The sequence below is a fragment of the Homo sapiens genome, chromosome 3 (assembly GCF_000001405.40).
Source record: "Homo sapiens chromosome 3, GRCh38.p14 Primary Assembly".
Classification (NCBI taxonomy): domain Eukaryota; kingdom Metazoa; phylum Chordata; class Mammalia; order Primates; family Hominidae; genus Homo; species Homo sapiens.
In genome coordinates, this window is record NC_000003.12 from 110596727 (window position 1) to 110623567 (window position 26841).

Below are 26841 nucleotides of genomic sequence, written 5' to 3' on the forward strand. Positions count from 1 at the left end.
AGGCCAGAGGTTGAGAATAGGGGAAAATACAATTCTCTCAAAGTATTATTTTTTCTAAACCAGTGGTTGCTGCTGATTTCTGCCCCTCCCTCCCCATTTTGTAACAGGTTAACTTGGTCTAGGTATTTCTGTTTTTCTTCCACCACGTCATTAATGATATATTTATTTTGATGTCGGTATAAAATGTAGTTCATAGGCATTAATGGGGAATTTGTTCCAAAAGTCTAAAGGTCATAGTTAGTAGAAATATTGATTTTATAGATCATTACTTAATGGCAAATTATGATCTGCTCTCTTGACAATCCCTAAATTGATGGAAATGTTTGCTTGTTGAATAAAATTTAATATTTTCTGCTTAAAACTATAACTTATCAACAATTTTTGAATCTTTTTAAATAAATTATTTTTAACTTTTCCAAAGTCCAAGAAGATGTTTACTCAAAATACTGTACTCAAACATCTTCGGTGAATGCTATACCTTTCTTTTTAAAACCTCTGAAGGTTTCTGCTTTAGGAAAATCTGTTCAAACTAAAATTTTCTAAACCTATTTGCCCAGGGAACTTTCCCATTTTTAACCCAAGAAAACCATTGTATTCATTTATTTAAATCTGTTGATACAAACTAATTTTTACTATTTTTATTATGGGCTTTCTCCTGTGCAAAGCATTGATCTGGGTAGGCATGCAAAACATGTAGAGGGATAAGGCATGAGTCTCAAACACAAAGTGCAATACATTCTAGAAGAGAGGTAGAAAATGAATAGCAATACTGTACATTGTAAATTCAGAAAGACCTGAGTTTAAACTTCAGTTTTCCACTTAAGAATTTTGAAAACTTGGACAAAATACTTAAAATATTTTATATCAGTGTTTTCCTCTAAAAAAAAATGAGGATGATAATAATATGTACTTCATACCATACATGGCACACAGTAGGTGTTCAATAAAAAGCAGCCAAAATCAGAGTTAAAAAAAAAAAAAAGATGAAAGAAGAAGGAGCATAATTTGATGGAGGCTTAAAGACAATATAAGAGATTTTGTTAAAAGTCAAATTAATTATATGATTATTCTGATCAATTGCAGAAAAGATCAACTAAAATGGATGAAATAAATCAAACAAGAACCAATTTAGAAGTCATGTAGAGATTAGTCATTTGTATTCACATTTTGCCACGTACCTCTATTTCTATTTCAATGCAAAGTCAATGCTAATAATTTTAGTATAATTAAGATTATTTATATTTATCATCTTTATTATGCAAGCTTTGAAACAGGCAGATATTGTTATTATATTTCTTTTTACAGACAAAGCAGTTCTAGAAAGAAAATTAATTTATCAAAGCCAGTTAGCCTTCAACTAAGTAGAATCTCCTAGTTTCTATTAAAAGCTCATCCACTAGACTTCACTAATTCCAGGACCTAGACCTAGACCTAAAACAGCGATATGTTAATTTACCTGGCCCTACCTATGGACAAAATTGCATGGCTGGCTTTCAAATCATGAGTTGATAGCCCTTGCTTTAAACCATCACAACTAATCAGCCTTGTAAATAGTAAGAATATCCACAGGGATCAGCAAATATTTTCTGTGATTTACCAGATAGTAAATATTTTAATCTTTGAGGGCAATATGGTCTGTCACAAATACTCAACTCTGCCCTTTTAACGCTAGAACAACCATAGATACAAACACACACACACACACACACACACACACACAACACCATAAGCCATTATTATTAATATCACATTAAGTAGTCAGTATTCACTCACATTTACTCATGTAAACCAAAAATAAAATTCTAAGTCCCCCAGTTGACTGAATACACTTCTCATCTTTGTCAATGGAATTTCAAATAAAACCTAAAAAACTACTTCAGGCCATGATGGGAAGGCAGGTCAAACATGCCTCCTTATATACTTTTTCCTTGAGAATTTAGGCACAACTGACCAGCATTAACATTAAAATAGCAATCATAAGACCCTCAAAACAGACTCTTTGTAGAAATGAGATACTAAACTCCAACCTGACTCTGGTATAACATCACATGACAGATAGCAGGTTCTAAAGAAAATAAAAGCATTCTAACACAAAATATATTTCTTTGACATATTTTGAAATGGTCATCCAAAGCCTTCTCTTGTGGAGAAAATTTGCATTCTATAGAGAATGCCCTTCCCTTTCCAGGTCTTTTCCTGAAGCAAGAGAGATTTAACTAAAAGTGTGACACCTTTTAAGGTGCCATAAGAAACATTTACCATCTATTCTCTCTGAAGCCTGTTACTTAGAGGCTTCATCTACATAACAAGAACTTTGGCTTCCAAACCCTTCTTACATTAACTCATGCATTTCTTTATGCTGACTTAAACTCTTCAGGAAAAGCTTAACTCTTTTAACCAATGGCCAGTCAGAAAATCCTTGAAGCTATCTGTGTCCTGGAAGTCCTGATTTTGAGATGTCCCACCTTTCCAGGCCCAACCAATTTATACTTTACATGTATACTTTACATGATTTATGTCTTTGCCAATGACTTCTGTCTCTAAAATGTATAAAACCATGCTGTAACCAAACCACCTTGGGCACACATTCCTGGGATCTCTTAAGACTGTGTCATGGGCCAAAATTATTCAAATATGAAGCTTAGAATAAACCTCTTTAAATAATTTACAGTTTGGTTTTTTTTGTCAACACTCACATAAATAGCTTTCTTGTTGCTCTTCATTCTTTCTTTTGTCATTGTATTTCAGTCTGGGATTATTTTTCTCCTGCCTAAAGAGCTGTCTTTAGTGTATGCTTTCATATGTATCACATAGGAATAAGTTTTTGTTAATTTGAAACATCTTCATCACTTTCATTTTGAGGAATATTATCATTGAGTATAATTTTCCAAGTTGCCAGTTATTTTTGTAGTTCTCTAAACACGGGATTATTTGTCTTCTGGCTCCCTTTATTTTTCCAAACAATATACATTGTTGATATATTTTTGCTTCATTGAAGTTAATGAGCATTCACTACTTCTATAACTGCATGCATTTAAGATCTCTTGTTTTTAGCTTTCAGTAATTTTATTATAATATGTCTGGGTGTGCTTTTCTTTGTATTAATAATTTCTGGAAGTCACTAAACTTCTTAAATCTCTGGGTTCATGTCTTTAACCAGTTTTGGGAAATTCTTGACCATTCTATCTTCAAAACTTGCTCCTTCCCATTCTCTCTCTTTCTTTTCTCCATCAAGAATTCCACTTACATATATGTTGGGCCTTTTCATATGTCTTGTAGTCTCTTATCCTCTCTTCTGTTTTTCCATTTTTTGGTTTTTCTTTAATTTAAAAACGTTTTCTGGTCTTACATTTCCATTCTGTAGCCTTCATCTTTTTTTTTTTTAATAAAGTAAGCAGTTAAGCTACTTTTGTCTACCAATGCATAATAATACTAGTAAATTAATCATTTAAACTTAGGTTTCTGTTATTTTCTCTTCTCTTGGCTTTCAGTTATTTGGTCTTCCTTCCTGAAATGCATGGCTATTTGAAAAATTCTAGAAGAATAAGAGGAAAAAGAATGGAATAAAGACTAGTAGACTTCTGGAATTTTAATCTTTCTTATGGGAGAATTTAATTTTATCCTGGAAGATAGATAGAGTATGATCAGAAACTATGGAAAGTATAGATTAAGTCTTAGAGACATGCCAACCAAACTGAAAAGAAATGAGGTCAATTATATATTAATACCTTAACCATTACTAGATGAGAGTTGCTTTGGGAGAGTTGAATATTCAGAGTTTCCAGTGTGCCCATACATGAAACGAATGTATTTTTCCATAAGACGAAGCTTGCAGGCAAAAAGTCGCAGATACATTCAAAACTTAGAGATGAGTGTGCTGATGAAATTGGTGCAACATCAAAAATGCTTGCTATAAATTTTCTCTGTAATCTTGGACCCTTAAGTCTTTCTGCCATGAAAACTTAATTCTTTCATGAATCTTTAAGTTCTTAATTATTTTCTTATGCCTTTAAATATCTGTTTTATGTAATAATTATAAACTTATTAATGATTTAGAAATTGTTTAGCTTAATAATCAATAATTTTAATTATTTACTTACATTAATAACTGTTCTTGGTGGGAGAAAAGAATTTCCACCACAACGGCCACATGTAGAAATCAGCTCATCCTTTCCCTTCTAAATTTAAGCTATAAACACTGAGAAAGAAGCTCCAGGACACCAGAAAAGAGATGAATCCACAACACCTTCCATTAAGTAGTTTTACAAAATTCTAGGTTTGAGGCTCAGCAAAAATGGAAACTGGGAGAAAATCCAAATATTTGAAACCAAATAAAACACTTGCAAGTAACCCTCAGAATTCAAGGAAGAAAACAAAAGGAAAATTAGGAAGTGTTTTGAAATGAATGAAAATGAAACATGTTAAAATTATGGAATGTAGTTAAATCAGTGCTTAGAAAGAAAATTATAACATAGAGTGCCTATGTTAGAAAAGAAGAAAGATACCAGAAATAAACTCTCAGCTTCTACCTTAAGGAAATAGAAAAGAAAATTTTAAAAAGCAGAAAAATATCAGAGGACAAATCAGTGAAAGAGAAAACAGAATGATAGAGAAATTCAATAACACCAAAAACTGGCTCTTTGAGTAGATCAAAAAAATTGATAAACCCCTAGTTAAACTCATCAAAAATTAAAAAAAAAGACACATATTATCAGGGTCAGGAATGAGATGGGAAAAATCACAACAGATTTTACATAGGTTAAAAGGAAAATCAAGAAATACTATGAACAACTTTATAGTCATAAATTCAGCAACTTAGAAGAAGTGGACAAATTTTTTACAATACACAAGTTCAAATAAACCATATAGCCTTATATGAATTAAATAAATTTATTTCATAGCAAAAATTTTTCCTATAAAATAACCTTTAGGCCCAAATGACCTCATTAATAAATTCTACAAAATATTTATGAAAGAAAAATATAAATTCTACAAATACTCTTCCAGAAGATTAAAGAGAAAGGAATGCTTGCCAACTCCTATGAGACCAGTAGTACTTTGGTATCAAATCAGAGAACATCACCACAAAAAGAATACTAAAGACCAACATCTTTCATGATTATAGATATTTAAGTTATTTTTATTAATTTAGTAAGTCAAATTCAATAATGCATTAAAAGAAAAATGCAGTATGTCCCAGTGGGGTTTTTTCCTGGGAAAGCAAGCTTGGTTTAATATTTTAAAATCCATTAGTATAATTCACCATATTTACAGTCTAAGCAAAGAAAAACCATATAATCATCTCATGTAATGCAGAAGAAACATTGATAAAATCCAACATCTATTTCTGATTGAAATCCTTCCTAACTTGATATAAGGAATATACAAAAAACATAGTTCATATCAGAAGTAATCCTGAGATACTGAATGTTTTCCCCCTAAAATCAGGAATAAGAAAGTCTTATTTAACACTGTCCTGAATGTCCTAGCCAATACAATAAGGCAAATAAATAAATAAATGCCTAAATCAATCAATAAATGGCACCCAGATTGGAAAAAAAAATTGTCTTTATTCACAGACATCCTGATTGTCTATGTAAAAAATTTTATGCAATGTACAAGAACACTACTAAAACCAATAAGTGAGTTAATCAAGTTTGCATAATGAAAGACCATTATACAAAAATCAATTATTTTTCTATGTATTAGCAAAATGCAATGGGAAGGTTCCATCTTAAAAATATCATTTATAATAGCATTGAAACTGTAAAATACATGGGAATAAATCTAACAAGATATGTACAAGACCTGTATACTAAAAACTACAATACATGAGAGAAACTGAAGACCTTTAAAGAAGTAAAAATATGTACCATTTTAATGTGCTAGAAAATTTTGCTATTTTTATAATGCTAATTATTGATAAATTAATCTATAGTTTTAAGACAATTGCAACCTACATTCCATGAACATTTTCAAAGAAGGTCACAAGCTAATTCTAAAATTCATATGGAAATGTAAAAGGCAGAGAATATTTAAAATAACTTTAAAAGCACGAATAATTTCTTGTTTCAAGACTTCTTGTCATATTACAGCAATAAAGGCAGTATGGTATTGTCATAAAAATAGAAAAATAAACAATTATTGGAAGATGGCAGCGGAAGAAGCACCAGGAATCCCTCTCCCAACCTAGACAACAATTGCACTGATGTGACTATTTTGAAACTCTGGAGTCTTTTGAAAGATTGCAACCTCCAGAGGAAGGCTTACATGGTAAGTTGCATCTAGTTCCAGTCAGTTTTAACTCTTACCACAATAGCAGCTATCCATGCCCTACCTCCACCTCCATTACAAGCAGCTGTTCGCAAAATCCAGGAGCAGTTTGCACACAGTTTGTGGGTGCCAGGGTGGGCAAAAAGAACCTTTGTTCTTCAAATATTGAGTATCAGTTCTGAATACTGATTGCTCCTTATGCTCACAGAGTTGCAGACAAAGAGGAAGGTGGCCATTGTTACGCCTCCCTCAATTGTTCCAAATCCCTCCCTCTCTGGTCGAAGTGACTTCTAGAAAATATGAAGGGCCAGTGCCTTTTCTCCCTCTTTATTTATTTATTTTTATTTTTATATGTTTTTTTGAGATGGACTTTCACTCTTGTCACCCAGGCTGTAGTGCAATGGCACGATCTCGGCTCACTGAAACATCCGCCTCCCAGGTTCAAGCGATTCTCTTCCTCAGCCACCCGAGTAGCTGGGATTACAGGTGCCCGCCACCACCCCGGGCTAATTTTTTTTTTTTTTTTTTTTTTTTGAGACGGAGTCTCACTCTATGGCCCAGCCTGGAGTGCAGTAGCGCGATCTCGGCTCACTGCAAACTCCACCTTCCGGGTTTACGCCATTCTCCTGCCTCAGCCTCCCGAGTAGCTGAGACTACAGGTGCCAGCCACCACACCTGGCTAATTTTTTTGTATTTTTAGTAGAGACGGGGTTTCACTGTGTTAGCCAGGATGGTCTCGATCTCCTGACCTCGTGATACGCCCACCTTGGCCTCCCAAAGTGCTGGGATTATAGGCGTGAGGCACTGCCCCCAGCCTAATTTTTGTATTTTTAGTAGAGATGGGGGTTTCACCATATTGGCCAGGCTGGTCTCAAACTCGTGACCTCATGATCTGCCCACCTCAGCCTCCCAAAGTGCTGGGATTACAGGCATGAGCCACCGCTCCCAGCCCCTCTTTATTTTTTTATTTCCCCCCCTTTTTGGTACCAAACGTTAAAGACTAGGTCACTAAGAAGCAACTACTTATATGAGGAAAATTAGAAAGTGACCATATATGCCCAGAGAAAGACGCAGGCTCAGAAAACACGTGAAAAGACCTTAAGTTTACACCTCAAGCTGATCCTTGGCATGGAAAAAAAAAAAAAAAGCCTACAACAATAAAAGATAAATAAAATAAAATAAAATAAAAACAATAAATAAACAACTGCAATAACAAAATAAGGGCAAACTCTGGAGAATTGGGAGAACCTAATTACCAGAATTACCATATTATTAAATTTAAATGTCCAGTTTTCAACAACAACAACAACGACAAAGTCACAGGCGTACAAAGAAATAGGAAAGCATGTCACATATAAAAGAAAAAATAAGTAAACAGAAACTGTCATTGAAAAAGACCTATTATGCAAAAATTCTAAAACAACTGTCTTACAAATGCTTCAAAAATTAAAGGAAGATGTTGATATATAAACAAAATAGAACTATCAGTACAGAGACAGGTAACCTAAGTATGAAACCAAAAGTAAAGTCCAGAGCTGAAATATAGAATAACCAAAATGAAAAATACACACAAGGATTCAAAGGCAGATTTGAGTAGGCAGAAAAAAAAAATTGCAAATTCACAGATAAGACTGTGGAAATTATAGTGTCTGAGGAAGCAAAAGATAAAAGATTAAAGAAAAGTGGACAGAGCCTAAGGGACCTATAGGACAGCCATCAAGTGGACCCACATATACATTGCTGAGTCCCAAAAGGAGATGAGAAAAAGAAAGGAGAAAATAAAATATTTAAATTAGTTATGGCTGAAAACTTTCCAAATGTGATAAAAGGCATTAATACAGAAATCTAAGAAGCTCAACAAATTTCAAGTAATATGAACTCAAAGAGACTGACTGGAACACATTATAATAATACTTTCAAAACTCAAACATAAAGAGAAAATCATGAAAGCAGCAAGAGAGAAGCAACTCACCATATAAAAGGGATCAACAATAAAATTATCAGCAGATTTCTCATCAGAAACTTTGCATACCAGAAGGCAGTGGGCTGATGTATCTAAAGTGGTAAAAGAAAAAAATAAAGTCTGCCAAGCAAGGATCCTATCTCCAGCAAAAGTGTCCTTCAAGAATGAGAGAGAAATTAAGACATTCTCAGATAAAAACTAAGGGGGTTCATTACCAATAGGCCTGCACTGCAAGAAATGCTCAAGGGCATTCTGCAGGGTGAAATGAAAGAGCACTAGACAGTAGCTCAAAGCCATATGAAGAAACAAAGATCTCAATAAAGGTAAATACAAGTACAATTGTAAAAGCTGGTATTATTCTAACAACCGTTAGCAATTCTACTTTTTGTTTTCTACATGATTTAAGAAACTAATACATATAATATATATAAATATATATAATTATTAGTCTAAAATCTAGTATCATAACCTTGGTTTATACCTACATTTTGGTTTTCACAAAATTGAGGACTCTAATGTACGTGAAAATTATTACTTTATGTTTTAGGGCACACAATGAGTAAAAGTATCATTTTCCGGCATCAATAACAGAAAGGGGTGGGGACAGATTAGTAAAGTAGTAGAGATTTTATATTTTATTAAAGTTAAGCTGGCATAAGTTGAAATTTGTGCTGTAACTTTAGGATGTTTAATGTACTCTTTACAGAATAGCAATGGAACATACACGAAGAATATGGGCAAGAAATTAAACCATTTTACTTCAAAAAATAAACTAAACACAAAAGAAGAGATTGATGCAGTGAATGAGGGACAAAAACTATAAAGCATCTGAAAAACAAATAGCACAATGACAGGAATAAGTCCCTCCTTATCAGTAATTATTTTACATGTAAATAGATTAAACTCTCCAATCAAAAGACAGATTGTAAGAATAAATTTCTTAAAAAATATGTTTTAACATAATGTTATTTATGAGGACTCACTTTAAACACAAAGGCACAAATAGATTGAAAGTGAAATAATGGAAAAGATGTCCCGTGCAAATGCAACCAAAAGACAGCAGGTGATAGCTATGCTAATACCAGACAAAATACACTTTAAATCCTAAAAAAGCTACAAGAGATAACAAAGAACATTATATTTTTATTTTTTATTAACCAGTTATAATTGTATATATTTATAGTATAAGATGTGATGTTATCTGTATATAATGCACAATGATTAAGTCAAGCCAATTAACATATTCATCACCTCATCCACCATTTTTTAGGGTGAGAATGTTTGAAATGTACTCCCTTAGCAATTTTGAAATACACAATACACTATGCATGATGTGTGCAGTAGATCTCAAAAAATTATTCTTCAATGTAACAGAAACTTTATACACTTTGACCAACATCTCCCCATTCTCCTCATCACCACCAGCCAAGTGTAAAAATCATTTAACTCTGTACTGTTACAAGATTGACTATATTAGATTCTACATATCTGTGAGATCATGTGGCATTGTCTTTCTGTGCCGGGCTTATTCACTTAACATAATGTCCTTCAGGTTCATTCATGTTGTTGCAAATGAAAGAATCTTCTTCTTTTTTTAAGGCTGAATAAATTCCTTTGAATATATATAGATATTCTTTTAATCCATTCATTCTTTGAGGAACCCAGGTTGATTCCATATCTTAGCTATTATGAGTAATGCTTCAATGAACATGGGAGAGCAGATATCTCTTTGACATACTTATTTCAAATCTTTTGGCTATATACACAGAAGTGAGATTTCTGGGGAATATAGCAGTTGTATTTTTACTTTTTAAAGGAAACTCTATACAATTTGCCATTGCGGCTATACCAATTTACATTAATATCAAAAAATGTACAAGGATTCCTTTTATTCTGTATCCTCTTCAACACTCATCTTTTGTCTTTTTGATAATAGCTATTCTAACAGGTGTAAGGTGATATCTCAATGTGGTTTTAATTTGTCTTTCCCTAATGTTTAGTGATGTTGAGCATTTTCTTCAACTACATATTGACCATTTGTGTGTGCTCTTTTCAGAAATGTCTCTTCTAGGTACTTAGACATTTTTTAAGCAAGTTCTTCCTTTTCTTGCTGCTTAGTTGTTTGACTTCCTTACACAGTTTGGATATTAACCCCTTATCAAATGTATGGTTTGCAAATACTTTCTCCCAATCTGTGAGTCATCTTTTTATTCTTTCAATCATTTTATTTGCTGTGCAGAAGCTTTTAATTTGTATAATCCCATTTATCTATTTTCGCTTTTGTTGCATGTACTTTTGGGGTCACATCCACAAAAATCACTGCCCATGTCAATGCCACAGAGCTTTTCCCCTATGTTTTCTTCTAGTAGTTTCACAATTTCAAGTCTTACATTTACGTTTTTAATCCATTTTGAGTTAAGGACTGCAACACTACTTTCTCAGCAATGGGTAGAACAACCGGACAGAAGGTAAGGAAAGAAATACAGGACTTAACCAACACATTAAACCAACTTGATTTAACAGACACATACAGAACACTACCTAACAAAAATAACATACATATTCTCCTCAAGTATACATCAGATTTTTTTCAGGATAGACCATATGATAGGCCACAAATAAAGTATCAATATATTTTAAAATATAGATGTCTTATGAAGTATCTTCTCCAACCACGATGGGGTAAAAATTAAACAACATGGAAACAAGCAATGGATCAAGGAAGAAATCACAAGAATAAATAGAAAATACTTAAAAATGAATAAAAGTGAAAACGTAATGTACCAAAACTCATGAGACACAGAGAAAGCAGTGATAAGAAAGAAATTTATAGCTATAAAGGCTTACATTTAAAAAAAAAAAGTCTGTAATCAACATCTTAAATGTATAACTTAAAGAATTAGAAAAAAAGGAAGGACAAAGTAAACTCAGAGCTAGCAGAAAAAAAAGGAAGTAGTAAAAATTAGAGCAGAGATTAACAAAATACAAATAGAAAACCACTCAAGAAAATCAATAAAACTAAAAGTTGATCTTTTAGAAAGATCAACAAAATTGAAAAATCTTTAACTAGATGGACAAAGTAAAAAGAGAGAGAGAGAAGACGTGGCCAGACATGGGGGCTGATGCCTGTAATCCTAGCACTTTGGGAGGCTGAGGCAGGAGGATCACTTGAACTCAGGAGTTCAAGACCAGCCTGGGCAACATAGTGAGACCCCATCTCTATTATTTAAAAATAAAGATTTAAAAAGATGGAAGACACAAATTACTAAAATTGGAAATGAAAGTGGAAACATTATTACCAATTCTACCTAAATAAAAAGATTATAAGAGAATACTATGAACAATTATACACCAATGTATTGGATAATGAAGATAAAATGGAAAAATTTCTAGAAATACAAAAATCCACCAAGACTAACTCATGAAAAAACAGAAAATCTGTATAGACCTATAGCTAGTAAGGAAATAGAATCATTCATTTAAAAACTCCCAAAAAAGAAAAGCCATGGAGCTAATGGTTTCACTGGTGAATTCTACCAAACATTTAAAGAACTAACATTGATCCATCTCAAACTTCTCTCAAAAAAACTGAAGATAAAGTAACACTTCCTAACTCATTCCATGAGGTCAATATTACCCTGATACCAACTACAGACAAAGACACTGCAAGAAAACTACAAACCAATGTCCCTGAAGGCCACTGATGCAAAAACTCTTAACAAATAATAGCATATTGAATATAACAGTATATTTAAAAGATTGCACCATGACCAAGTGCAAGAATGGAATGCAAGAATGGAATGCAAGAATGATTCAACATACAAAAATAAATCAATGTCATACACCACATTAACAAAATGAGGAAGGGGAAAAAGCACATGATTATCTCATTTGATGCAGAAAAAAAACACTTAAAAAATTTAACATTCTTTTATTATAAAAGTACTCAATGAACTAGGAATGAAAGGAAACTACCTCAACATAAGAAAAGCCATATGTGAAAAAGTCAGTGGACAACATACTCAATGGTATAAGATTGAAAGCTTTTCATCTAAGGTCAAGAATAAGGCAAGGATATCTACTTTTACTACTTCTGTTCTACACAGTACTGGAAACTCTAGCCGGATCAGAAAGGTGAAAAATTAAATTTACAAAGGCATCCAAGTAAAAGAGAAAGAAGTAAAATTATCTCTTTTCACAGATGTTATGTTTTATGTAGAAAACTCAAATGATTCCACAAAAAATGCCTAAAACAGATCAATGAATTCAGAAAAGTAGCAAAACACAAAGTCAACACACAAAATTCAGTTGCATTTCTATGCATTAAAAATGAACAATAAAAATGGAAATTATAAAACAATTCTAAAAAATAAAATATTTATAAATTAATGTAAGGAATAAAAGACATCAACAATAAAATTACAAAACATTGCTGAAAGAAATTAAAGAAGACATATATGGTTGGAAATACATGCCATGTTTATGGATATGACAACTTAAAAATGTGAAAATGTCAATATTACTCAAAGTGATTCATAGATTCAATTTAATCCCTATCAATATCCCAATGACCATATTTGCAGAAATAGAAAAACCCATCCTAAAATTTGTGTAAAATGTCAAAGGACTCCTGAATGGCCAAAACAGTCTTTAAAAAGAAGAACAACCTAGAAGACTCACACTTCCTGATTTTAAAAGATACCAAAAAACTAGAGTAATCAAAGGAATATGGTAGTAGCATAAAGTCAGACATTTAGACAAATGGAATAGAATGGAAAGTTCAGAAATAAACTCTTACATATATGTTTTTGCATCAAAAACACTATCAAGAGAGTAAAAAGGTCACCCATGGAATAGGAAAAAATATTTTCAAATTATATTTCTGATGAGGGATTAATAATACACAGAACTCCTAAAACTCAATAACAGAAAAAACAAACAAGGTGATTCAAAATGGGCAAATAATTTGAATAGACAAATACATGGAATAGAATATAGTCGAAAATAGACCCACATACTATAAAATTTAACAAGGGGCAAGGGCAATTCAGCAGAGAGAGAATAGCCTTTTAACAAATGTTGCTTAGACAACTGGATATGCATATGCCAAAATAAAAACAAATAAGCAAAATAAACAACCAAAAAACTTTAACACTATATCCATCACACTATATATTTTTTAAACTCAAAACGGTCATAAACCTAAAACAAAAAGAAAACATAGGAGAAAATCTTTGTAAGCTTGTACTAGGCTTGGATTTCTTAGAAATAACACCAAATGCATCATCCATAGAAGAACTATAGATAATTTGGGCTTTATTAGAATGTAAAACTTCTATTTTCTGAAAGGCACTGTTAACAGAATGGAAACATAAGTCACAAATTTGGAGAAAATATTACAAATCATATATTTGGTAAAGGACTTCTTTCCAGAATAACAAAGAAAGCTCCAAACTCAATTAAAAAAAACTCAGTAAAAAATAAACCAAAGGTTTGAAGAGACACTTCACCAAAGAAGATATACGAGTGGCAAATATGCACACACAAAAAGTGTTCATCAGTTGTCCTTAAGCAAATGCAAATTTAAAAAATAATGAGATACTACTATACACCTAGTGGAATGGCTAAAGTTAAAAATCTGATGATTCCAAGTGTTAACAAGTTTGTGGAAGAACTGAAAGTATCATACATTGCTGATAGGAATGTAAAGTAGTTCAACTACTTTGGAAAACAGTTTGAGAGTATCTTAAGAAGTCAGATATACCCTTAGCATATGTTCAGCCATCTCATTCCTAGGTATTCATCCAAGAGAAATGAAAGCATGTCTGCCCACACAAAGACTTATACACTGATGTTATAGCATTTGCATATTTGTTATCATAGTTGTAATTTACAAAAATGTATTTGTAATTTACAGAAACTAAAGACAACCCAAATATCCATCTTGAGTGAATAAATAAACAAACTTGTAAATTGATACAAGGAACCAATCAGCAATAAAAAGAATGGACTATTTATACATGTAATAACATAGATGAATCTCAACAATAATTATGCTGAGTGAGAGAAGCAGTTTCTATAAAATTCTAAAAACTGCAGATGAATCTCTGGTGAGAGATGGGAGATCCACTGATGCCTGAAGGTAGCGGATAGGAAGAATAGATGGTACTGATTAAAAAGGGGCATAAGGACACTTTTTCAGGTGATAAATATGTTCACTATCTTGATTGTGGTGGTGGGGAGTTCATGGATATATATATGTCACATATTATCAAATTGTACATCTTAAGTATATGCAGTTCATTTTGTGTTAATTATACCTCAATAAAAGTGCTTTTATAAAGTCCAAGGAGCTCAAAATACTCTTTCTCTTATACTTGGGGAAGGAGATAAGGGTTTGCCTGTCACTTCAGCATGGGTTCAAAGATACTACCTACACTTGCTGAGGAATGATGGGAAGTGATTACATCCAGTGCTAAATTTGTACCCTCACTTGAGGAAGTTCCAGTGGGTTAGACTTCACCTACTCTTAAGGATATGCATTAACAGATCTAAGAAAAGTTTCTGTACAAAGAATCTTCTCCCCTTATTTTGCTAAGATTACTTATTACAATATTTTGTTTCTGAGAAAAGCTGTAGAAAGCCTTACGCAGTACACTTTATTGTCACATTTATTAATTCTGTTTTTCCCCAGGAAAAATAAAAAATTAATTACACAGTAAAAATCTAGAAGGATATCTTTAGGCTCATGAAAGGAAAGTACATTCAAAAAGAGGATTTTACTGAAGACTGTCTAGAACCAACATACGTTATGAACTGAGCCCTTAAATGCTAAAATTTGAGAAGGAGGGGGATATTCCAGGTGAATAAAATAGAATGATCAGATCAAGCAATGTTAACATAAGAGTAGTAAAAAATTACAATGATTCTTTCCCTAATATCCATATTATTGCTTTCCCATCTTGTCAGACCTCTGCTTAGATGTCATCTCTTCACTCAGAACTCCTAATGCCACTCTGCATAATGTTAGCCTTCAACTCTTTTGCACTACCATCTTACCCTGCTCTGTTTTTTTTTTTTTCTTTTTTGGAGCATTATCAGCACCTGACATCTGTAGCTTGTCATGAAGTATTTATTTGTTTCCCTTTTCCCCACAAGAAAATAATATCCATAAATGTAAAAACATTGTCCAAAGGTCATGTTCACACAATGTCCTCAGATCCTAGAACAATGCCTGGCACACAATACCAGCTCAATAAATATTTGTCGAATAACTGTAGTAGTAGTAAACTACAAATAAGCAAATATTTGTGCCTCTTCCTTACTACTACTCTGTTGTGAAGCGTTTAGAAAGCAATCAATAAACTAGATTCTATCTTGTGTTTCTTTCCCCAAACTCGGAGCTTCTCCTGGATCACAAACACCTGCTAACACGATCCTTTGAAGCCAGAGCCCATTCTTCATTTTAAAGCTTTTTTTATGTGTTCTGTATCCCAGACTGGCAAATAAGTCCCCTACGTTCCAGAAGCTTACATTCTAGACTTGCTTCTTATTACAGGCTTCCTGGATACCTTTGTCAATAAAAAAAGGAAACAGGAGAAAAATAATTAGATTTGCATATCTGCAAGAGTCGTTTAATTTTCTATCATAAGTGTAGCTCCTGAAAAAAAATTCCACTAAGATTCATGCAAATCACTTCCAAAAGACCTCACACTGAATAAAATTCTTAGAGTAAAATAGCGTCTTCAAGGGTATAGCCAGATACGCCTCTGTAAAGTTTAGTGTATGAATGTAGACATGGGCATCTGTTTGGTGGGTTTGATGGATCACAGCACCAACTGGCGACAGGGTCCGTGGCTCCCTTGGTCCCAACCCTGAAAATCTCTCCTCCACTATGGATATGTAGGAGTAATTATCCCAGGTCCCAGACTTCAAGATGGGTCAAAAGATAAATAAATTATGGGTTTTCTACAAAAGGAGCCTGACAGTGGTATCTTGGTTCCAGATAATTTTAATAAGGTCCATGGTCCTCTCTATAAGCTGTAGAAAAGAGAAGTACTGTCAGTTTGTCAGACACCTTCATGCTAACTCACTGGTATATGAAGCAATTAGAACTAACTTGTGCTTATACCATTTCACAGCCACACCTCAAAATGCTGCTAACCTTTAGCTAGAACACCATGCTCAATCATCCTCTAATATTACCGGTGCCAAAAAAACTAAAAATTCCCTAAGAGATAACAATAAAAAGTCATCCATTTATGCTGCAAAATGCATCTCCCCATGCATATAGCACAGAATGCAGAAGCTAGGAGGACTTTAATTAATAGGATGCTTAGATTCTGATTCAACTGACATAAAGAAGTGAAAGATACAGGAGGTTAAATAATTTTCTCACACTCTAGGAAACAAAGCTAGGATAAGAACCTGAGTCCCCCAACTCCCATTTCAGTTATTTTTCTACAACCTTCAATAATGTTCTAGATTTGTGGTATTTAAGCATTTTTGTTTAGCAGCAGGACCCTTTCACAAAAAAATTTCTACTATAAATCTAACATAAGCAACAAAGATGAGGTGATCTGATGGGAGAATTGTGGAGCCACCCCTCCACAAAATAGCAGAGTCCAAGCTTTGCTTTTTGATATGGTTTGCCAGCCCCACCTCACCTTGAATTGTAATAATCTCCTTGTGTCAAGGGCGGGACCAGGTGGAGGTAACTGAATCATGGGGGTGGTTTCCCCCATGCTGTTCTCATGATAATAAGTGAGTCTCATGAGATCCAATGGTTTTATAAGTGTTTGGCATCTCCCCTGCTTGCACTCATTCTCTCTCCTGCTGCCCTGTGAAGAGGTGCCTTCCACCATGAGTGTAAGTTTCCTGAGGCCTCCCCAGCCATGTGGAACTGTGAGTCAATTAAACCTCTATCCTTGATAAATTACCCAGTCTCATGTATTTCTTTCTTCACAGAAGCATGAGAATGGACTAATACACTTTTCCTATCAACAGTTGAAGACTAGAAGAAATGACTAAGAAAAAATTGCAAAGTTTTTGAAATCTGACTACAGCTCACAGCACCACTGTTTCTAATACACTTTTCTCTATTTGGTGGTCTAACCTGTCCTAATTTATGATGCATTTAGCCCCTCTGAACAATAACCCTATTATTTAAAGCTGGAAGCAGTCATTGGTACATTGATTTAAAACTATTCTCACTAATACTTATCCAGTCACAGTCCAATTTGCCTTACAAGACTCTTTTTAATTTTGAAATATAAATTTCCCTCCTGTTAAACATTTTAAACATTTGAGAACAGTTTAGGGCAACCATGTAGACAACAGAGCTATAAATCTGCTATATGAAGCAGAGATCTCTAACTGACTTTGGTTATTTCAAGCAACCCGAGCTGAAATCAGGAGGACTATATATTTTCTTTTCAGCTCTACATGCCTGAATTGTAAAGCTGACCCAGCCAGTTACTTGCTATGTAACCTTTAGTACATTTCTTTACTTTTCCTAGTATCAATTTTCTTATCTGCCAATTGGGCTTAATCATTCTGTTTCAGAAGTTTGTCAAGAAGCAACAAAGATGATAAAGAATATAGTACAGCGTACAGTGCTTAGGGCAACAGTAAACATTGATCCAGTGTCTAATTTCTTCTCTCCTTTTGGAGAGATGATGGTTTGAGTAAAATAAGCTGTGACTGCTAATGTCCTATTCCAGGTAGCTGACGGAAAGGAAGATACCATCAGCTACAGTGTTTTGGAACTGGTACATATTCTTCCCAAATAAAAGCTCACTCTTCATTCCAGCCCTTTCCCAATCTTGATTTTTACTCCTTTGCTTTCTAGATGGTTCATTCATTCAACAAAAGTGGGGTTTTAATTCCTGGTTTCTTTCTTTCTTTCTCTCTCTCTCTCTCCATCTCTCTCTCTCTCTATGTCTCTCTCTCTCGCACACACACACATACACACATGCACACAAATAAGGCACAGTTTATTTTCTTAAGGGTTAAGGTTCTGTATAGAAAAGCTACACATTTTTCTCATAGCCACACACACCTAAGGGTTTCACAAATACTTATGGGGTGGTTTATCATATGTAGGAGTCCTTAAGATACTAACAGAATTATATAAATAATTATAGTTTAGGATATGAAAGTGGTTGTGTATATATACCTGTTTATCCTACAGTTTTATAAATGGCATATAGTTAATTCTATAAAATGGGTGTTAATTCTCATCTTTATGTGGTCTTTTTGAAAACTCAAACTAAAATAACTTTTCAGAAATTGAAAAGAAACTTAATTAAATGGATGCCAGTGATAAACTTAATTAAATGGATGCCAGGATTTCAGTGTCCAGAGTGGGCAAATAAATCTAGAAGTCTTCCTGTCTCAGTCATAGCATCACTTGACCAAGGGCTTCCTATCAGTCTCCAGCTTAGTGCATCCCCCCCTTCCCCTGCTCTGTTTTTGTTCCACAAGAAATAATATTTCCTAGGATCTTCTGCCTCTGGGCCTCTGGATAGATTTGGCCAATAAGAAGACAGTGGCAGGGGATTGGAGGATAGGATGAGGAAGTAAGCTGAGGTACTTCTCCGCCTTCTCTATTTCCTGTAGTGTCTTCAGCAGTGGCTATGTTTCCTCCATGACAATAGCTCCTGTTGGACAAATGGACTGTGGTCCAGTTCCTGTGGAACATCCTCTCTGTCTATCTAGCCAGGTGATAGGGACTTCCTGCTAATTCTGATTGCTTGATTGCCTCACTAGCTATTTGGCTTCCCAGAGATTCTAGCACCTGTTGAATCAATTCCAAGAGTTAATTTTCTTGTTTTAGATATATACAGTGATCTCAGTATTTGGACTTTGCCTTATATACAAGGCTTGTTCTGATGTAAGTATACTATACATTTAGATATGTGCTGTGCATATGTCTGTGTAAATGCTGTGAACACAGATAAAAAATTAACTTATGTTATATCCAACACATTACCTGGGATGCAGTAGGTATTTAATGTGCATTACTTGGTGAATTGACTGTATATGGTATCAGGGAAAATAGCATAAAACGTAATTCAAATGTGAAAAATACATACTAACTATAATCATTTTATGACTTAAAACCATTTATGCCTCTTCACTGTTGTGACAGTAATACATGTGTCAAATCAACAGTGTTCAGTTTCAATTGAATAGGTATATAAACTATACATAGGTCCACCCCTTCATTTTTCACTCATTTGAAGTGATTGCCTTCTCAACACTTAAATATTTATATTGCTGCCAGGCACAGTGGCTCATGCTAGTAATCCCAGCACTTTGGGAGGCCAAGGTGGGCGGATCTGAGATCGGGAGTTCGAGACCATCCTGGCCAACATGGAGAAACCCCATTTCTACTAAGAATACAAAATTAGCCGGGTGTGGTGGTGCATGCCTGTAATCCCAACTACTCAGGAGGCTGAGGCAGGAGAATTGCTTGAATTTGGGAGGCGGAGGTTGCAGTGACCTGAGATATCTCCATTGCACTCCAGCCTGGACAACAAGAGTGAAACTCCGACTCAAAAAAAAAAAAAAAAAAGAATGTATATTGTCTGTTTTACAGGAGACTCCTTTCCTCAAAACTCCAAAATTTGGTTAATGTAGTTTTTTGTTTGTTTGTTTATGTTTTTTGGTTTGGTTTGGTTTTCTTTTGTTTTGAGAGACAGGGTCTCACTCTGTTGCCCAAGCTGGATGGATTGCAGTGGCACAATCACAGCTCACTACAGCCTCGACCTCCTGGGCTTGATCAAGCAATCCTCCCACCTCAGCCTCCCAAATAGCTGGTACTCCAGGCACACACAACCATGCCCAGCTAATTTTTAAATTCTTTTGTAGAGACGGTGTCTCACTATGTTGTCCAGGCTGTTCTCAAATTCCTGGACTCAAGCAATCCTCCTGCCTCAGACTCCTGAAGTGCTGGGATTACAGGTGGGAGCCACAATGGTTGGCCCTGATTAATAATCTGTTTAGCAACAATTAATCAATATTTTAATGGCATTATATCAATACTCTCTGGAGTTGATAGGGCAAATGAGAAATCAAAATTGATTAAAAAATTAAGTATCCCCAGAGAAGATATAATGATATAGTTGATTTTTTAGTCTAGACTATCCCTATAAGATATAAATATTCTGAGTTATGGAAACAATTAGAAAATAAAATTTTAAAATAATTTACAATGGAAAGAAGTAGAAAAACTGATTAGAGAAACATTGTTAGCAAACCACTTAGAGTATTAAATCAATATTTTTAGGAAGATTAATCAGTAATGTGGCAAAGTGAGTGAAAGAAATTAGCAGGCTATCATAATTAATGCATGAGATGAGACGAGCACAAATGACAGTGGTCACCGTTATAGTGAAAAGAGTGGAATGAGTGCTAGAAACGTGGTGAAGAACACATTTTTAAAGAGTTATGTCTTCTTGATTAATAATACAAATAATGCTAATTACCATTAATATTCAAAAGAAAAGATGGCAATAACAATGACTTCAAAGTTTCTAGTCAAGATCCAGAAGACTGGTGATACTGTCTACAGAAATAGTTAAGGTAAAACAAGAAACCAGCCGGGTATGGTGGCTCACGCCTGTAATCCTAGCACTTTGGGAGGCTGAGGTGGGCGGATCACGAGGTCAGGAGATCGAGACCACGGTGAAACCCCGTCTCTACTAAAGATACAAAAAATTAGCCAGGTGCAGTGGCAGCACCTGTAGTCCCAGCTACTCAGGAGGCTGAGGCAGGAGAATGGCGTGAACCTGGGAGGCGGAGCTTGCAGTGAGCCGAGATCTTGCCACGGCACTCCAGCCTGGGCAAAAGAGCGAGACTCCTTCTCAAAAAAAGAAAAATAAATAAAATTAAAAAAAAAAAACACAAGAAACCAAGCAGGAGGGAAGATGGTTAATTTTGGCAGGTACATAGAGTTTAAATAATGCTAAATATCCACATTTAAATGTCCAGCATAATGGGAAATTTCAACCTTCAAACTGGATTATTTTCAAAACTTAAATTTATTTATAGGTGAACTACATTCTTACCCTGCTAATTAGTTGGTGAAATACTTTAAATAGAAGGAAGCAACTAAATTCACACTTTAAAAGTCCATGGAAATTTTTTCTAAAGCACCAATGGGGAGGAAAGTCAATATTTTTATTTGTTCATTTGATTGATAGTAATGAATACTGGCTTTGCTCAGACAAGGCAAAGAAATTTAGGATTTCCAAAGCAGTAGCCAAGTATGATTTGTTTATTTCATCCATAATCTTCTACCTGAGTGTTTCTTTCTGAAGAAAATTACACTTCTTGCTCTTAACACCACTATAAAGAGTGGAGTGCATCACGTTGCTTCCCCTTCAGCAGGTTTAACTTTATTTTGTAATTAACAATAGCTAGTTTGGGAATTATACTGTGATATCACTTGGTTTTGAATTTTCATTGAGTCTTTTTATGAAAAATTACAAACTCCTCAGAGGGACTGATGTAGTTTGTTGCCATGGATAATTGTCTCTAAATAAACTCAGGGTAGTTAAGTGGATATGAACAGATGGAAATAAATTGATTGAAGTTGTCTATTGTGCCTCTTGGCTCCTGTTTATTTGTTACCAGCAGCATATCTTTTTGTCTTGTCAGGCCTGGCATTTTGTGCACTTGAACTTTAACAATGTCAGCTGGATTCCTCCTCAAAACTGGCATAGAAATTGCTCCAGGGTACAGCCCTCTGCCAACCTGGCCAGAACCACAGCAGAAACCAATAGCCTAATTACAGTTCTCTAAGCCTCATAGGAAGAAGGTCACATATATTGGTACAGCTGTCTAACCATGTCCAAGTTTATCTAACCTCAGATGAATTGTAGGCAGGTTCTATTAAAGCATCACAATCTCTCCACTCTTATTTTACATATAGGGAAAATTAAGTTAGAGGAGAGAAAAATATTCAGCCTGGTGTTTAGTCATTCATTAAACTAATTTCACAATTACGTATTAAGTGCCAACTACAGGCCAGCCACTATTCTGGGCACCAAGAATTCAATAGTGATAAGGCACAGTCTCTGCCGTGGTGTTGGTAAGGGTGACAGACAAGTCAGCAGGAAATTAAGATACAGTATGATCAATACTTTGAAAAGCACAAGCTAAGAATGTAAGAATGGTATAGGAGCTCACAAGAGGGACACTTCCCTTAGTCTTGATGACTAGTTTCCAAAAGAAGGAACACCTATTGTGACCTGAAAGATGATCAGATAACTGGCCAAAAAATAACTCACTGCCAAACTTACTGGCCATCCAATCAACCTTGGCTCCTAAATATTTCAATTTAAACCAATAAATGCTTATGAGAATCCTGCATGTTTCTAACACTTTGATAGAAATTCTAGGAGAATTCCAGAAAAATATAATACCAAGATGCCTGCCCTCAGAAGACTGCAGTTCTATTGGAGAAAGCAGAATCAAAACACTTGAACCAATTAGGAGACAGTAAGAAGAATATTAAAGACTATGACATGTGTTATAAATAATATTATTGTATGAGAGATCCTCAGAGTCACTAGATAGACATCAATTGAAAGGCAGAGCTAAGCTGAGGCTTGACAAATGGGTAGGCAGTAAAGTGAGAATTTTTATCTTCTCCAGATATCACTAATCTCACCCCAAATTATGGTTAGATTCTACCCACAACATTAATGCTGAAAACATTTTTTTTCAGACTGATTCTTTTGGAAACCACTTCTTTTCTCAAACCAACTCTTACAGGCTCAATGGCGTTGCCCCCCAAAACTAGGCTGAACTCCCAGTAACTGGAAATGTTACCTTATTTAGAAATAGGGTCTTTTCAGATATAATCAGGTTAACATGAGGTCATACGAATTAGAATGGGTCTGAATCCAATATGACTGGTGTTCTTATAAGAAGAGAATCAGAGACAGACACACCAAGAATTAGTATGATGTGAAAACACACAGAGAGAATGTCATGTGATGATGGAGGAAGAGATTAGAGTGATGTGTCTATAAGCCAACGGGCTCCAAAGATTGCCAGTAACACCAGAAGCTAAGAGAAAGGCATACAACAGATTCTTTTACTGAGCCTTCAGAGAAAGCATGAAAGTAAATGACACCTTGATTTCAGACATTTAACCTCCCAAACTGTGAAGGAATAAATTTCTGTTAAGTCACCTGGTTTGTGGTACTTTGTTATGGTAGCCCAACGAAACTAATACACAAACTGGGCGTGTTGACTCCTGAAAGAAATTTGGCATGTGTGAATACTGTAAATGAATAATAGCTTTAAGATTGTGTGGAATTTCAAGTGATATGAAAAGATAAAGGATTCAGCAGCAGGGCAAGGTTGATTACCCAAAGGGCGTTATTGCAGATAATGAGCTTCTGAACACAGAGATTAAGCCCTCCACAGCATCAGCCTCAGACATAACGGCATTAAGGAACTGGAGAACCTCTGCCATAACTAGTGTAGGCTTCTCAGGGGCTCTGGTTCTCCTCTCCTAGGAATATCCTTTTAAATAAAATATTATAATATCAAAGGTGTGAATATTTTGCTCAAGGAGTATGAAAATTGCAATATTGTTTTATGTAGTTTTGGTTAGCTGATAAGTTTTACAACATCATGTAGTTTTTTAAATCATATTTAAAAAAATACATATAGAAAGAAAATAATAAAGAAAAAATATATATACATAATCACCAAATGTTTAGAAAGTACATATTTACACTGATGGTGGCATTTCAAACATCCTGGTAGCTCTACTTTTAAAATATATGCGACCACTTTCCATAAATAGCAAATCTGCATTTATGGTCCAAGCCACTGCCATCTCCTACCTGAATTATTGCAACAGGTTCCTCACTGTTTTCATTCTTACCCCACAAGGGTCCACACAACAATCAGAGCAATGTTAACAAGTCAGTCTACATCATTCCTCTGATCAAAACTCTCCAATAACCCCCTATCTCTTCTAGCATGAAAGAAACCCAGAGCCCTTACAGACAGTTCTTCAATGCCTTATAAGATCTGGACCCAGTTACCTGTCTGATCTCATGTCCTACTATTCTACTCCTACAGAATTTCTATCTTCCTAGGACTACAATCATGCCGGGCATGTTCTTGCCACAGGCTAGATATCCCAGAACGTATCCTTCACTCCTCGAAGCCTTTGCTCAAATGTCACCTTCCTATCAAGGTCTTCCAGACCATATTATTAAAATGACATCACACACTCTCTACATTCCCCAACCCCTTTCTTGCTTTTTCTCCAATGCACTTATCATCTTGAAGTATACAACATAATTTGCTTATTTAATTGATTTACTGCTTGTTTCTTTCCCAGCAGCTATAAGATCCATGAGAACAAGAATTTCTATTTATTCTGTTGGCTGCTATATTTTATTGCCTAGAATCATATCTGGCATAATAGGTACTCAATAAGTATTTGTTCAATGACAGGATAAGGATATTTATCTCAGCATTATTTAAAATAGCAAAACATTGGAAATGACCTACATGTCCAATAAAGGAATGGCTAAATGAACAATGATACTTTTCAACAAAATATTATATGCCTGTTAAATTAACTATATGTGCTGCATCATCTGTGCAATTATTTACAATCAAATAATTTTAAAAGTTGAATACAATCATAGGTTTCTTTTAAAGGCAACTACATCAAATTGCTTGTGAATATGGAATAAGAAAAAATAAAAATGCTTTGTTAGGGTGATGGAATTATAGTACATTTTGGAGTTTTAAATAATAATGTTTGATATCTGTGTCACTATACATATTTTTAAAGTAAAATTGAGCTATATTAGAATACTAAAAACAGAACTGGGTTATATTTTGAGAGAGCTACATTCATTGTCACGTGGTGAAGTTTTAAAAATCAACTTTATTCTGATTATTAAAACTAGCAGCTTCATTCTTGAAGAGCAGAAAATGTCATTGATGTATTCAAGTTATATAAATGAAGCAGAACTTTTCTGTCATGCATGCTGAGTTAAACTATTACATAGTTTAAATTTACTCAGAAAATTCTGAACATAGTTTCCCTATGGTTCAAAGTAGGAAAGTGTTATTATGTTGACTAATACATGCCCTGAATTCAAATGGGCTTAGGGAAATTTGGGACTTTAAAGAAATATTGACATACAGGCCAGGTGCAGTGGCTCACACTTGTAATCCCAGCACTTTGGGAGGCCAAGGCAGGTGGATCACTTGAGATCAGGAGTTCAAGACCAGCCTGGACAACATGGTGAAACCCTGTCTCTACTAAAAATACAAAAATTAGCCAGGTGTGGTGGCAAGCACCTGTAATCCCAGCTACTCTGGAGGCTGAGGCAGGAGAATCTCTTGAACCTGGGAGACAGAGGTTGCAGTGAGCCAAGATTGTGCCACTGCACTCCAGCCTAGGCAACAGAGTGAGATTCTGTCAAAAAGGAAAGAAAGAGAGATAGAAAAGAAGGAAGCAAGGAAGGAAGGAAGGAAGGAAAGAAGGAAGGAAGGAAGGAAGGAAGGAAGAGTCTTGACATACAACCATATGTAATAAAGCCTGAATATCAACAGGGAAACCCAAGGCTTTAGGAGAAACATTGCTTATGATAAAAAATATTCCTGCTGAAGGAGAAAGGCTGATACAGTTCCAGAAAAAAATGTATATCTAAACTTTAGGTGAAGTTTTTTTCTGGCTTTGCAGTAATTACCCCAATATCCTCAATCTTCTCTAAAAGTCTAAGCTGTCCAGTATTTATATTGATTGTGCTCTATAGAACCTGGGTTCATCCTTGGAGCAATATATGAAAGAAAACAGAAAACAGCCACAGGAGCCTGGAGGGACAGAGGAGCTGGTCGCTTTGTGGACCACTGTACACCTGAGAAAGGTGACTCTTGAAAGGAAAAGAGGTAGGAAGACACGGGATCCTGCTGCCTCTTGGGTGGACACCATGCAGGTGGGAACACTTTGGTTATACACAATTCCTTTCCTATCTACAAGGTTGCATCCTGTCACATTTTATGAAAATTAGTGAGACAGCATACATGGCAGTTGTTTTTTTATACACACATAAAATAAGTAAAATGAATAAGTAAATAATATAAATAAATGAGTGGAAGAATGAATGAGGAGGAAGAAAAAGCAAAGGAAGAGAGTGGAATGAAAAGAAACAAAAAGAAAGGAAAGGAAGAAGCACTATCACTAAATATGAAAATCAGAAAGAAAGAAAAGAAAAATAAATGACTAGGAAAATAAATTTGGAATGAAATAGATTAAAAGAATGACAAAAATATAAGAAATTTAAAGTAACTGGAAAAGAAAATAAAAGAAAGACCCAATTGTTAGAAAATGCCTAGTTTTCCAAACAACATTTCAAGTTTTTTCAATATTCTGTGGGAGTCACACATGTAAAGAGAATGATGGTTTCATCTGAAGGAGAGTGGACAAATATCAATGGAAAGATTACTCTAAAATATTGGTTTTTAAAGTATCTGGTGATTTTTGTTCTCTTATCACTTTTTACATTTGGAATCAATCATGCTAAAAGGATAGTTCACTAATATTAGGTTTC

The 26841-nt window shown here is 34.6% G+C and overlaps 1 long non-coding RNA gene across 1 annotated transcript in view, besides 1 other annotated feature; it reads right to left on the reverse strand.

The window, feature by feature from the left end:
* The window catches only part of LOC105374037 (uncharacterized), a 112561-nt gene that overhangs the window by 41994 nt on the left and 43726 nt on the right, over positions 1-26841 (reverse strand). The gene's annotated exons all lie outside the window — the stretch shown is intronic.
* Positions 1801-2655: an enhancer, noted in NCBI's record as "OCT4-NANOG hESC enhancer chr3:110317374-110318228 (GRCh37/hg19 assembly coordinates)". NCBI's record gives its function as "activates a minimal SCP1, AML or CMV promoter by ChIP-STARR-seq in naive H9 embryonic stem cells {active_cell/tissue: H9 hESC(naive)}" and the evidence as "EXISTENCE:reporter gene assay evidence [ECO:0000049][PMID:30033119]".